Source organism: Homo sapiens, chromosome 1 (assembly GCF_000001405.40).
Source record: "Homo sapiens chromosome 1, GRCh38.p14 Primary Assembly".
NCBI classification, from domain to species: Eukaryota; Metazoa; Chordata; class Mammalia; order Primates; family Hominidae; genus Homo; species Homo sapiens.
Window position 1 is genome coordinate 150,722,465 of NC_000001.11, and position 14,293 is coordinate 150,736,757.

The 14,293-nt window shown below is 43.5% G+C and overlaps 1 protein-coding gene across 2 annotated transcripts in view, besides 7 other annotated features; it reads right to left on the reverse strand.

The window, feature by feature from the left end:
* Positions 5,821-6,586: an enhancer, noted in NCBI's record as "NANOG-H3K27ac-H3K4me1 hESC enhancer chr1:150700761-150701526 (GRCh37/hg19 assembly coordinates)". NCBI's record gives its function as "activates a minimal SCP1, AML or CMV promoter by ChIP-STARR-seq in primed H9 embryonic stem cells {active_cell/tissue: H9 hESC(primed)}" and the evidence as "EXISTENCE:reporter gene assay evidence [ECO:0000049][PMID:30033119]".
* The window catches only part of CTSS (cathepsin S), a 35,591-nt gene continuing 29,021 nt past the window's right edge, over positions 7,724-14,293 (reverse strand). For both annotated transcript variants that reach the window (NM_001199739.2, NM_004079.5), the window contains one exon: positions 7,724-10,681. In NM_001199739.2, coding sequence (NP_001186668.1) covers positions 10,582-10,681 — 100 coding nt within the window. In that variant the 3' untranslated portion in view covers positions 7,724-10,581. The remainder of the gene's footprint in view (positions 10,682-14,293) is intronic.
* Positions 8,024-8,168: an enhancer, noted in NCBI's record as "145 bp 1:150703034 sequence used in MPRA reporter constructs". NCBI's record gives its function as "activates a minimal TATA-containing promoter with rs55960943 allelic activity by MPRAs in C283T melanocytes {active_cell/tissue: C283T}" and the evidence as "EXISTENCE:reporter gene assay evidence [ECO:0000049][PMID:36423637]".
* Positions 8,095-8,099: a transcriptional cis regulatory region, noted in NCBI's record as "rs55960943 or 1:150703034 MPRA-significant variant associated with a GWAS melanoma risk locus at 1q21.3". NCBI's record gives its function as "allelic transcriptional activity by MPRAs in C283T melanocytes {active_cell/tissue: C283T}" and the evidence as "EXISTENCE:reporter gene assay evidence [ECO:0000049][PMID:36423637]".
* Positions 8,357-8,501: an enhancer, noted in NCBI's record as "145 bp 1:150703366 sequence used in MPRA reporter constructs". NCBI's record gives its function as "activates a minimal TATA-containing promoter with 1:150703366 allelic activity by MPRAs in C283T melanocytes {active_cell/tissue: C283T}" and the evidence as "EXISTENCE:reporter gene assay evidence [ECO:0000049][PMID:36423637]".
* Position 8,426: a transcriptional cis regulatory region, noted in NCBI's record as "1:150703366 MPRA-significant variant associated with a GWAS melanoma risk locus at 1q21.3". NCBI's record gives its function as "allelic transcriptional activity by MPRAs in C283T melanocytes {active_cell/tissue: C283T}" and the evidence as "EXISTENCE:reporter gene assay evidence [ECO:0000049][PMID:36423637]".
* Positions 12,584-12,728: an enhancer, noted in NCBI's record as "145 bp 1:150707596 sequence used in MPRA reporter constructs". NCBI's record gives its function as "activates a minimal TATA-containing promoter with rs7521898 allelic activity by MPRAs in C283T melanocytes {active_cell/tissue: C283T}" and the evidence as "EXISTENCE:reporter gene assay evidence [ECO:0000049][PMID:36423637]".
* Position 12,656: a transcriptional cis regulatory region, noted in NCBI's record as "rs7521898 or 1:150707596 MPRA-significant variant associated with a GWAS melanoma risk locus at 1q21.3". NCBI's record gives its function as "allelic transcriptional activity by MPRAs in C283T melanocytes {active_cell/tissue: C283T}" and the evidence as "EXISTENCE:reporter gene assay evidence [ECO:0000049][PMID:36423637]".

Below are 14,293 nucleotides of genomic sequence, written 5' to 3' on the forward strand. Positions count from 1 at the left end.
ATCTTATGCTTTCTGTAGTCTGTTAAGTGTGCAGGAGCATAATGTCTAGAAACACAATGCACATACTTTAATTTTAAAATACTTTATTCCTAAAAAATGCTAATGATCATCTGAACAATCATCTTTTTGCCGGTGGAGGGCCTTGCCTTGATGTTAATGGCTGCTGACTGATCAGGGAGGTGTTTGCTGCATGTTGGGGTGTCTGTGGCAATTTCTTAAATTAGGACAACAATGACATTCACCACATCGATTGACTCTTCCTTTTATAAAAGATTTCTCTGTAGCATGTGATGCTGTTTTACAGCATTTTACCCACAGTAGAAATTCCTTCAGAATTGGAGTCAGTCCTTTCAAACCCTGCTGCTACTTTGTCAACTAAGTTTATGTAACATTCTAAATCCTTTGTTACCATTTCAATCTTGTTCTCAGCATCTTCACCAGGAGTAGATTCCATCGATTCCATCTCAATAAATCACTTTCCTCAATCATCCATAAGAAGCAATTCCAGCACTTTGGGAGGCTGAGGCGGGTGGATCACGAAGTCAGGAGTTTGAGACTAGCCTGGCCAATATGGTGAAACCCTGTCTCTACTAAAAATACAAAAATTAGCCAGGCATGATAGCACGCCTGTAATCCCAGCTACTAGGGAGGCTGAGGTGGGAGAATCGCTTGAACCCAGGAGGCTGAGGTTACAGTGAGCTGAAATCACGCCACTGTACTCCAGCCTGGACAACAGAGCAAGACACTAACTTAAAAAAAAAAAAAAAGAAGCAATTCCTCAGCAGTTCAAATTTTGTCATGAGATTGTAGCAATTCAGTCCCATCTTCTCATCTTCAGGTTCTACTTCCAATTCTGGTACTCTTGCTATTTCCACATCTGCAGTTGCTTCCTCCATGGCAGTCTCGAACTTCTCAAAGTCATCCATGAGGATTGGAATAACTTCTTCTAAACTGCTGCTAATGTTGATATTTTGACCTCCTCCTATGAATCACAAATATTCTTAATGGCATCGAGAATAGTGACGCCTTTCCAGAAGGTTTTCAATTTTCTTTGCCTACATCCATCAGAGGAATCACTATGGCAGCTACAGCCCTTACAAAATGTGTTTCTTAACTTATAAGGCTTGAAAGTCAAAATTACTTCTTGATCCATGGGCTGCAGAATGGTCTTTTTGTTAGCAGACACGAAAACAACATTAATCTCCATGTTCACCTCCATTAGAGCTCTTGAGTGACCAAGTGCATTGACAATGAGCAGTAATATGTTGAAAGGAATCTTTTTTTCTAAGCAGCAGTAGGTCTCAACCATGTGCTTAAAATATCCAGTGAACTATGTTGTAAGCAGATGTGGTGTCATCCAGGCTTTGTTGTTCCATTTATAGATCACAGGCAGAGTAGATTTAGTATAATTCTTAACGGCCCTAGAATTTGCAGAATGTTAAGGGAGCACTGGCTTCAAATGTAAGTCACCAGCTGCATTATCCTCGTATGAGAAATTCATCCTGTCCTTTAAAGCTTTGAAGGCATTAATTTCTCTTCTCTAGCTATGAAAGTTTTCAGTGGAATCTTCTTCCACAAAGCTGTTTCACCTACGTGGAAAATGTGCTGTTTAGTATAGCCACCTGCATCAGTTATCTTAGCTAGATCTTCTGGATAACTTGCTGCAGCTTCCACATCAGCCCTTGATGCTCCACCTTGCACTTTTTTTTTTTTTTTTTTTTTTTTTTGAGACGGAGTCTCACTCTGTCGCCCAGGCTGGAGTGCAGTGGCACGATCTCAGCACTTTTGTGTTATGGAGAATGGCTTCATCCTTGAAACCTCATGAACCAACATCTGCTAGCTTCAGACTTTTCTTCTGCAGCTTCTGCAGCTTCTGCATCTCTGTCAGCCTTTCTAGAATTGAGGAGTTAGGGCCTTGCTCTGGATTAGACTTCGGTTTAAGAGCATGTTGTGGCTGGCTCAATCTTCTATCCAGACCACTCAAACTTTCTGCATATCACCAATAAAGCTGCTTCACTTTCTTATCATTCATGTGTTCACTGGAGTAGCACTTGTAATTTCCTCCAAGAACTTTCCCTTTACATTCACAACTTGGTGAACTATTTGGCACAAGAGGCCTTTCAGCCTATCTTGGCTTTTGGCATGCCTTCCTCACTAAGCTTAATCATTTTCAGCGTTTAAGTGAGAGGCATGCAACTCTTTCTTTCACTTGAACACATAGACAACATTGTAGGGTTATGAATTGACCTAATTTAAATATTGCTGTGTCTTAGAAAATAGGGAGGCCCAAGGAGAGGGAGAGAGATGGGGACACAGCCAGTAAATGGAGCAGTTAGAACACACACATTTATTGATTATATTTGCCATTTTACATGGGTGCGGCTTTTGACATCCTATGACAATTATCATAGTAACATCAAAGATCACTGATCACAGATCACCATAGTAGATAATAATAATAATGAAAAAGTTTAAAATATTGCAAGAATTACCAAAATGTGACACAAAGACATGAAGTAAGCATATGCTGTTGGGAAACGGCACTGACAGACTTACTTGATTCTGGGTTGCTACAAACCTGCAATTTGTAAAAAAAATGCAATATCTGCAAAGCACAATAAAGCAAAGCACAATAAAACAAGATAAGCCTGTACTCATAAACTTTGACATATCTTCATTACAAAGGAGAAAACAGCCACTAGATATGAAAAGATTTGCCCAAAGTCATTCAACTAGGAGAGAAATGAAGACTAGAACCTTGTTATTAGGGTTAAAAATAGTGAAAATCTTGGTCTAATAATTATTTTGAATTATAATTAAGTCACTGTTTTGTGTGTTTTTTTTTGTTGTTGTTGTTGTTGTTGTTTTTTGAGACGGAGTCTCACTCTTTTGCCCAAGCTGGAGTGCAGTGGCATAATCTTGGCTCACTGCAACCTCCACCTCCTGGGTTCAAGGGATTCTCCTGCCTCAGCCTCCCCAGTAGCTGGGATCACAGGCACGCACCACCACATCCAACTAATTTTTGTATTTTTAGTAGAGATGGGGTTTCACCATGTTGGCCAGACTGGTCTTGAACTCCTGACCTCAGGTGATTTGCCCACCTTGGACTCCCAAAATGCTGGGATTACAGGCATGAGCCACTGTGCCCAGCCACTTTTTTTTCTTTAGAGGCAAGGTCTCTTTCAGTCTCCCAGGCTGGAGTGCAGTGATGCAATCATACCTCACTGCAGCCTCAAACTCCTGGCTCAAGCAATCCTCCCTCCTCAGCCTCTGTAACAACTAGGACCGCAGGTGTGTGCCACAACTCTCGGCTACTTTTTAATTTTTTTGTAGAGTCAGGGTCTTGCTATGTTGTGTAGACTGATCTTGAACTACTGGCCTCAAGTAATACTCCTGCCTTAGCCTCCCAAAGTGTTTCAGGCATGAACTACTATGCCAGGCCTATTTTCATTTTTTTTCATTTTTTTTGAGACAGAGTCTTGCTCTGTCACCCAGACTGGAATGCAGTGGCGTGATCTCGACTCACTGCAACCTCCCCTTCCTGGGTTCAAGCAATTCTCCTGCCTCAGCCTCTGAAGTAACTGGGGTTACAGGCGTCCACCACCACGCCAGGCTAATTTTTGTATTTTTAGTAAAGGTGGCATTTTGCCATGTTGGCCAGGCTAGCCTCGAACTCCTGACCTCAGGTGATCGGCTTGCCTTGGCCTCCCAAAGTGCTGGGATTACAGGCATGAGCCACCACGCCCGGCCCCCTTTATTACATGTTCTGATTTATAGTCTTTCTGGTAACTTAGAGTATGCATACTTGAAGCATCATCAAGATTCTCATCTAGAAGAGAAGAGTCAAAAAATAATAATTTGATTCAAAGAAATAGTAAGTCTTATGCCTGTAATCCCAGTACTTTGGGAGACCAAAGTGGGAGGATCACTTGAGGCCAAGAGTTGGAGACCAGCCTGGGCAACATAATGAGACTCCCATCTCTACACACACACACACACACACACACACACACACACACACACACACACACAAATAAGCCAGAAATGGTGGCTTGCACCTCTAGTCCCAGCTACTGGAGGGGTGGGGAAGGTGTGTGAGGTGAGAAAATAGCTTAAGTTCAGGAGTTCAAGGCTGCAGTGAGCAGTGATGGCATCACTGCACTCCAGCCTGAGTGACAGAGTGAGACCCTGTCTCAAAAAAAAAAAAAAAAAGATAAGAAAGGAAAAAAGAAAAGAGAAAGGAAATACTAAGTATCTGTCACATTTATGTTATATGTTTTAATGGCATTGTCTCATGGATGCCTAGTTCTGGAATATTTAAATCTTCTTGTTTCTTTTTTTAATATAATTTTTCAAATTTTTTGGCTAATCTTCTCTGTATCATTCAAATTTGAGTATATGTGCTGCCAAAGCAAGCACCGTTTCTTTACTTTTATTATACAGTTTAAAATTCTGTCAACTTTTACTCTGTGATGGCTCCCAGATTTGCTTTATTTTTTATTTTTTTGCTGTTTTCAGAAATGATGTATTTAGTTTAGGGCTTTATCACCACACATATAGACTACTAGAATATCTTTTAGATTGTCTCTTTTTTTTTCTTGAGACAGAGTTTCGTTCTTGTTGCCCAGGCTGGAGTGCAATGGCATGATCTCGGCTCACTGCAACCTCCACCTCCTGAGTTCAAGCAATTCTCCTGTCTCAGCCTCTCAAGTAGCTGGGATTACAGGCACCCACCACCATGCCCAGCTAATTTTTGTATTTTTAGTAGAGGCGGGGTTTCACTGTGTTGGCCAGGCTGGTCTCCAACTCCTGACCTCAAGTGATCTGCCTGCCTCGGCCTCCCAAAGTGCTGGGATTACAGGCGTAAGCCACCACGCCCGGCCTAGGTTGTCTCATTTTAAAATTTTATTTATTTTATTATTTGCCAATTTATTTATTTTGAAACAAGGTCACCCAGGCTGGAGTGCAATGGCGCTATCATGGCTCACTGCAGCCTCAATCTCCTGGGCTCAAGTGATCCTCCCACCTCAGCCTTTCCCCTGGTAGCTGGGACTATAGGCACATACCACCACACCTGGCTAACTTTTTTATTTTTTGTAGAGATGGAGATCTTTTTATGTGCTCATAACAAGAGGCAGGAGGATCACTTGCGCCCAGGAGTTTGAGACCAGCCTCTTGAACTTCTGGCTCAAGCGATCCTCCCACCTCAGCCTCCCACAGTGCTGGGATTACAGGTGTGAGCCACTGCACCTGGCTTTTAAAAAAATTTTCTTCAAGTCATCTTGCATACTACTGTCTAGAAATTGTTCCAGAATAAATTCTAAATGTTTTTGTTTTAAATTTATATTTTTAGATAATTTTTTATCTCTATAAGTTTGAAATTACTTATTGTTAATAATTTCCCTTTATATTGGGCATACAGTGAAGTTTTTAAAAAGTATTTCATTATTCTACTTGCTTAGTTCAGGCATTCTTTTTTTTTTTTTTTTTAATTTATTTTTTTATTGATAATTCTTGGGTGTTTCTCACAGAGGGGGATTTGGCAGGGTCATGGGACAATAGTGGAGGGAAGGTCAGCAGATAAACAAGTGAACAAAGGACTCTGGTTTTCCTAGGCAGAGGACCCTGCGGCCTTCCGCAGTGTTTGTGTCCCTGATTACTTGAGATTAGGGATTGGTGATGACTCTTAACGAGCATGCTGCCTTCAAGCATCTGTTTAACAAAGCACATCTTGCACCGCCCTTAATCCATTTAACCCTGAGTGGACACAGCACATGTTTCAGAGAGCACAGGGTTGGGGGTAAGGTCACAGATCAACAGGATCCCAAGGCAGAGGAATTTTTCTTAGTGCAGAACAAAATGAAAAGTCTCCCATGTCTACTTCTTTCTACACAGACACGGCAACTATCCGATTTCTCAATCTTTTCCCCACCTTTCCCGCCTTTCTATTCCACAAAGCCGCCATTGTCATCCTGGCCCGTTCTCAATGAGCTGTTGGGAACACCTCCCAGACGGGGTGGTGGCCGGGCAGAGGGGCTCCTCACTTCCCAGTAGGGGCGGCCGGGCAGAGGCGCCCCTCACCTCCCGGACGGGGTGGCTGGCTGGGCAGGGGGGCTGACCCCCCCCACCTCCCTCCCGGACGGGGCGGCTGGCCGGGCGGGGGGCCGACCCCCCCACCTCCCTCCCGGACGGGGCGGCTGGCCGGGCAGAGGGGCTCCTCACTTCCCAGTAGGGGCGGCCGGGCAGAGGCGCCCCTCACCTCCCAGACGGGGCGGCTGGCCGGGCGGAGGGCTCACCCCCCCACCTCCCTCCCGGACGGGGCGGCTGGCCAGGCGGGGGGCTGACCCCCCCACCTCCCTCCCGGATGGGGCGGCTGGCCGGGTGGGGGGGCTGACCCCCACATCTCCCTCCCGGACGGGGTGGCTGGCCGGGCTGAGGGGCTCCTCACTTCCCAGTAGGGGCGGCCGGGCAGAGGCGCCCCTCACCTCCCGGACGGGGCGGCTGGCCGGGCGGGGGGCTGACCCCCCCACCTGCCTCCCGGACAGGGCGGCTGGCCGGGCGGGGGGCTGACCCCCCCCACCTCCCTCCCGGATGGGGCGGCTGGCCGGGCGGGGGGCTGACACCCCCCCCCACCTCCCTCCCGGACGGGGTGGCTGCCGGGCGGAGACGCTCCTCACTTCCCAGATCGGGTGGCTGCCGGGCGGAGAGGCTCCTCACTTCTCAGACGGGGCAGCTGCCGGGCGGAGGGGCTCCTCACTTCTCAGACGGGGTGGTTGCCAGGCAGAGGGTCTCCTCACTTCTCAGACGGGGCGGCCGGGCAGAGACGCTCCTCACCTCCCAGACAGGGTCTCGGCCGGGCAGAGGCGCTCCTCACATCCCAGATGGGGCGGCGGGGCAGAGGCGCTCCCCACATCTCAGACGATGGGCGGCCGGGCAGAGACGCTCCTCACTTCCTAGATGTGATGGCGGCTGGGAAGAGGCCTCCTCACTTCCTAGATGGGATGGCGGCCGGGCGGAGACGCTCCTCACTTTCCAGACTGGGCAGCCAGGCAGAGGGGCTCCTCACATCCCAGACGATGGGCGGCCAGGCAGAGACACTCCTCACTTCCCAGACAGGGTGGCAGCCGGGCAGAGGCTGCAATCTCAGCACTTTGGGAGGCCAAGGCAGGCGGCTGGGAGGTGTAGGTTGTAGTGAGCCGAGATCACGCCACTGCACTCCAGCCTGGGCACCATTGAGCACTGAGTGAACGAGACTCCGTCTGCAATCCCCGCACCTTGGGAGGCCGAGGTTGGCGGATCACTCGTGGTTAGGGGCTGGAGACCCGCCCGGCCAACACAGCGAAACCCCGTCTCCACCAAAACCAGTCAGGCGTGGTGGCGCGAGGCTGCAATCGCAGGCACTGGTCAGGCTGAGGCAGGAGAATCAGGCAGGGAGGTTGCAGTGAGCCGAGATGGCAGCAGTACAGTCCAGCTTCGGCTCCGCATGAGAGGGAGACCGTGGGGAGAGGGGGAGGGGGAGGGGGAGGGGGAGGGAGAGCAGTTCAGGCATTCTTTACTTGAGAGCCACAACTCTCAAAGTCTCCTTGGATAGAATTCAGGGAATTTATGAATTTGTATGGGTAAAAAATTCCATTTTTATTTTTACTAATGTAGGGGAGAACATATGTTTCCTTCTATCCATCCTAGGTTTAGGGCTGAGATCTCTATAACAAAAGAGAGATTAGCAAGAGAAAAGCATGCACATTTATTTAATATAAGTTTTACACGACACGAGGGGCTCCATAAGGAAATAAAGGCCCAAAGAAACAGTTGAACTTGAATGTTTTTTATAGTAGGTTTGATGAAGAGCAGCCAGTGATGTAGAAATGTCATAGGGCAAAGTGTGAACAAGCTAAATGTAATAAACTGGGGGAAACTGAGAGGCCTGTTTGTTTAGATTCCTCTTTGTGTCCCTGTGCTTTTGGAGGTAAGGATGCTCCTTTTCTCTGGGTGCCAGGAGAGCACCTCTTACATGACAGTCTTATGATCTACTTCAGGGGAAGGTCAGAAAATCCTTCCCAGGTTTTATGGCTGCTTCTGGGGAGAACAGCAGGCAGAAGGTCAGAGTCACCTTCCTGCTTCTGCAATTTCCTCAAATGCCTTCAGCTTAAAATATTCAATATGTCAAAGTGCTGTATTTTGTGTAGGGTGTCCTGAACCCCGTCACTAACCTCTAACTGAAAGTTAGGATTTTCTTCAATTCTGAACATAGTTCATAAACCACGGTAATATTAGCAATACTTCATCATCAAAAGAAAAACCCAGATATTTTCATATCACATTAGTTTTTTGCATCTATTTTCATTATGCTTATCACTATTTCAAATTTAGGATAGCTATTAACTCTTATTTAATGCATTTATAAAGAAGCATGCATATTAATATATAACAAACTTATCTTTTAACATTTTAATAACTGTATTTCGATATAATTAGATTCCTTTGTAATCCTATATATTTTATGCATTTAAAAACATGATTTTAAGAAGGCATTCATAGGCTTTAACAGATAGCTAAAGACTAAGAACCCATGTTTTTATTCTACTTTCAATACTTGAAAAGTTGTGGATAAAACAAAAATTATGTTAAAAACTGAAAAGTAGGCTGGGCTCAGTGGCTCACGCCTGTAATCTTAGCACTTTGGGAGGCTGGGGTGGGTGGATCACCTGAGGTCAGGAGTTTGAGACCAGCCTGGCTAATGTGGCAAAACCCTGTCTTTACTAAAAATACAAAAATTAGCTGGGCGTGGTGGTGCACGCCTATAATTCCAGCTACTCGGGAGGCTGAGGCAGGAGAATCGCTTGAACTCGGGAGGCAGAAGTTGCAGTGAACTGAGATGGTGCCACTGCACTCCAGCCTGGGCAACAGAGTGAGACTCCGTCTCAAAAAACAAAACAAAACTGAAAAGTAATCAACTAAATACTTTTAAACTATAATATTCTATACACTTTTGATGATAGCCATGTATTATGGTATTATTTATGTTTTTATATTTAGCAATTCTTGTTCCTTAAAATGTGCTTTATGGAGAAGGAGCCAGAGTTAGTGAAATACGTTTAGGTTAATTTAGGATATATTAATGACATTATCCCACACATTGTTCATGTCATAGACATGAACTTAAAAAATTTAAAGTTCCTGCTGCCTGCTTAGATGCATCTACTAATCTAGAGCAGTTGTAAGGAAGATCCATCTGAATTAGATAAAAATATGAGCAGTGGAGTATTGGTTATTTTATTCTGGTTGGCTCAGTTATTTGCCAAATAAAGGCCCTGGTCAAATTGTTGATGACTACGTAAAAATAATTTGGACTAATACATTAAATTGTTGATCATTAAAATAATTCTTCCAAAGTGCTTGTCTTTTATGCATTTCTTTACTTTAACATAATATAAAAATATGTGTTGAATCCTCTTTTTTTAAGACAGGGTCTTGCTCTGTCACCCAGGCTGGAGTGCAGTGGTGCAATTACAAGCTCACTGCATTCTCAACCTCCTGGGCTCTTGTGATCCTCCTGTCTTAGACATCTGCATAGCAGGGACCACAGGCACACACCACCACTCCTGGATAGTTTCTTTTTTATTTTTGTGGAGACAAGGTCTCACTATGTTGTCCAGGCTGGTCTTGAACTCCTGGGCTCAAGACGATCCTCCTACTTCAGCCTCCCAAAGTGTTGGGATTACAGGCATGAGCCACTACACGTGGCGTTTTGAATCCTCTTCTGTACAAAGATACAATCTGAGTCCTTAGGACATTTATAGCCTAATATTTTCTTCCATCAAAGTTGCTAAACCCCATCACCAGAATACCACAATTAATATTCTCAGGATAGATTATTAATAGTTGCCTAGGAATAAGAATGGTATGTGGCAATGATAGAAATTTGAAATGGCAGATTTATTAAGTATTTTTAAGCCATCAAGTTACAAAAGGCTATTAGGGGTCTTAAAAAGACAAAGAGTATACAATAAAACAATAAGCAATTACAGATTGTTTTAGGTTGAACAATTTTTGTACAGTTATATCTATAGTACATTACTAATTTACTTAGCAAACTTTATCCTGAGATTTGCAAATTTAAAAAAATGAAGAATCAAACTATATTTTCTTTTCTGTTTTTTTGAAACAGAGTCTCCACTCTGTCATCCAGGCTGGAGTACAGTGGTGTGATCTCAGCTCAACATAGCCTCAACCTCTTGGGTTCAAGGAATCTCGTGCCTCAGCCTCCCAAGTAGCTGGGATTACAGGCATGCACCACCGTGCTCGGCTAATTTTTTGTATTTTTAGTAGAGATGGGGTTTCACCATGTTAGCCAGGCTGCTCTTTAACTCCTGGCCTCAAGTTGATATGCCTGCCTTGGCCTCCCAAGTACTGGGATTACAGGCGTGAGCCACCGTGCCCGGCCTCAAACTATATTTTCTAATTAGTACAGTAAATACACATTAATCATGACACAATTATTTCTTCTGGATACAGCAGGAAAAATTAAGTTAAGAGAAAGTGCTTCATATTTCTTGATTTGTTATAAAAAGGAGAGATCCTCTAGATTTCTGGGTAAGAGGGAAAGCTAGCAATCCCACAATGATTTCCTTTATTTCTTGCCATCCGAATATATCCTTCTTCACCAAAGTTGTGGCCCCAGCTTTAGAAAAAGAAATAATACAAAATTACAAATGCGTACAATCAAACCATGTTATCAACTTTTTATCTCATTGTTTTTCTCCTATAAGTGATTACATATGAAAGGCCGTAAAACAAAATTAGAATGAAATAAGGTAATAATTTCTCCAGGGATTTCAGGTAACTCAAAATAATGGTTTGGAAAGCTTTAGTGCTATATTGATGAATAGACTTAATACCTAAGGAAAACTATAGTAAGATCCATCCCAGTCCTTTAATCCTCCTACTTTGCAAATATGCCTTCTCTAAAGAAAGAGTATTAGTATCCTTTATAAGCCTTTATCTCTAAATTTTTTGATAACAGTATCATGTGTAATGATTTTCTATCAAACTTAAATTCCTCTAGAGAATGTCAATTAAGAAATATTTTTGAGTGACTACTATGAAAAAGGTATAGGGCAGGGAATTCTAAAGCAAACAACAAAAATGCAGCTCTGAAAGAGCTTTTTGATCTAGAAGTGGAGCTGACTTTCTCATAATTAAAGCTATTGAAAAATGAGCCAGGCATGGTGGCTCACACTTGTAATCCAAGTGCTTTGAGAGGCTGAAGTGGGAGGATTGTTTGAGGCCAGAGTTTGAGAGCAGCCTGGGCAAAATAGCAAGTCCCTGATTCTACAAAAAAAATTTTTTTTTAATTAGCCAGGCATGGTGGCATGCACCTGTATTCCTTACCTACTCTGCAGCAGAGGCTACTTGTTAGAGATGTTGCAGAGAAAAATCATGGGTCGGATTAGGGTTCGAGTAGATCAGTGTTTCACTTTTTGATTTAATGGACTTAGAGGAGTTCAAAAAGTTTTTACAGATAGATATACAGTTATCAATTTTAAAATTAGCATGTATGGACATCTTTTTTTTTTTTTTGGAGGTGAAGTTTCGCTCTTGTTGCCCAGACTGGAGTGCAATGGTGCAATCTCAGCTCACCGCAGCCTCCATCTCCTGGGTTCAAGTGATTCTCCTGCCTCAGCCTCCCAAGTAGCTAGGACTGCAGGCATGTGCCACCACGACGGCTAATTTTGTATTTTTAGTAGAGATGGGGTTTCTCCATGTTGGTCAGGCTGGTCTCCAACTCCTGACCTCAAGTGATCTACCCGCCTCAGGCTCCCAAAGAGTTGGGATTACAGGTGTGAGCCACCACGCCCGGCTGTATGGTCATCTTTTTTAAAAAGCATACTATTGGTCGGGCACGGTGGCTCAAGCCTGTAATCCCAGCACTTTGGGAGGCAGAGACGGGCAGATCATTTGAGGTCAGGAGTTCGAGACCAGCCTGATCAACATGGTGAAACCCCGTCTCTACTAAAAATACAAAAACTAGCTGGGCATGGTAGCATGAGCCTGTAGTCCCAGCTACTCGAGAGGCTGAGGTAGGAGAATCGCTTGAACCTGGGAGGCAAGGCAGAGGTTGCAGTAAGCCGAGATTGCGCCTGTGCACTCCAGCCTGGGCAACAGAGTGAGACTGTCTCAAAAAAAGAAAATAAATAAAAACCATACTACTTACTGTCACCATTATGTTGTAAAAGAAAATACATTTTAACACCAAAAGCAAAAAATCCAAAGACATAATCTCTATTTTAAGGATAGTCTTTTGAGTAAATAAATTTATATTAATGAAAAAGTCACCAAAATATTCTTATTTTTCTTACTTTACCAAGACTGATGAAAAAACTTAGAAAATCCTTGTAAGAGGAATGATTTCTGAAGCTCTTTATCATTCTGAGATTTTATAGTGGTAGGTATATAAATATCATACAAGGCAAAATTCATTAAGTGCTCTAGGATACAAATAAAAGTGTGAAATTGAGAAAATGCCTAGTGTGTCTGGAGAGCAGTAAGAAATTTAGTTGAAAGGAAAACTGGATATCTTTAGTAGAATAGTGGAAAAAGAGGATAGAAAGCTGGTTTGGGGCCATGTTGTGAACAGCTTAGAACAGCAGGTGGAGGAACATGTACTTCAATTACAAAGGCAAAGGGAAGCTGTTAGAAATTTTGGCTCAGGGACTCAAAGTTTGTGTTTTTGCATGCAGTGGAGAACCTAAGAAATGCTGGTTTATTGTTGGAAGACAAATGACACCATTTAAAAGGACTGTGCTTTAAGAGGCCTTAAATATTCTATGTATCAGCCCTCATTGGACATTTTGCAGGTCCTATTTTTTTCTCTCTGTACCATTTAACACACTTGTCTACTCCCACCTTACTGGTCTCTTGGCTTCAAGACACTACTATGTTCTGATTTTCTTATCTCTCTCTGGTCAGTCCTTCTCAAACATTTTCATGAGCTCCTTTCTTTACTTCCTTTCACTTAATTGCCACTCCACTGCTTAGAAATTGTCAATGGCTCTCCATGCCTTTACAATAAAATTCAAACTCCATCGTCACCTCTAATAAACCACTGGCTGTAGTGGGTTTTTTTGTTTGTTTGTTTGTTTTTGACAGAGTCTCACCGTGTTGCCCTGGTTGGAGTGTGGTGGTGCAATCACAGCTCACTGCAGCTTCGACCTCCTGTGCTCAAGCAATCCTCCTGCCTCAGCCTTACAAGTAGCTAGGACCACATGTGCATACCACCATGCTTGGCCAATTTTTTTTTTTTTTTTTTTGTGATGGAGTCTTGCTCTGTGGCCCAGGCTGGAGTGTAGTGGCACAATCTCGGCTCACTGCAAGCTCCGCCTCCCGGGTTCACGCCATTCTCCTGCCTCAGCCTCCTCAGTAGCTGGAATTACAGGCGCCCACCACCACGCCTGGCTAATTTTTTTGTATTTTTTAGTAGAGATGGGGTTTTACCGTGTTAGCCAGGATGGTCTCGATCTCCTGACCTTGTGATCTGCCCGCCTCAGCCTCCCAAAGTGCTGGGATTACAGGCGTGAGCCACTGCGCCTGGCCCAATTTTTTATTTTAGTAAAGAAGAGGTCTCACTATGTTGCCCAGGCTGTAGCAATGCTCTTTTAATATCCAGTTTGATAAGCAAAAGCAATAACAAGAATCCGGCCAGGCTATTATTAATATTAATAGACACCACTTATTTAGCACTTACTCTGCCAAACAGATTAACATAAATTATCTAATTTAATCATCATCCTGTGAGGTGAATATTATCTTCTTTTACTAAAGAAAAAAACAGAAGGGCAGAGTGGTAAAGTAGCTTGCCAAAAGTCACATAGATAGTAAATTGTGAAGCCAGAGGTCAAATCTAGGATTATTTTATTCCAAAGCCCACTCTAACTTTTATCTATGCCTATCCCTACAGTTATCTCTGTGAGTGAAGTCATATGGGGAATGAAATTCAGACCAGTACATCTAGGATCTCATGTAATTTATATCCTACTATGGTCACTGCATTAAATAATAGGTAAAATAAATCATTTTAGGTGAACTGAATTTGGACCTGAGTTCTAGTATGAAAATTGAATTGAGGGTCTAGTTACTAGCAGTATGAATTCAGTCAGTGAGACCAAGGAATCCCAGACCCCATTCAACATCTAAACAATTTACTTTTCTCAGTTTTACCGACCAAGATCAATTGCCCCCAGTTTTGCAAAAGATCCCAGACCTCTTTTTGACTGAGTCCTGCTAACTTCCCTTA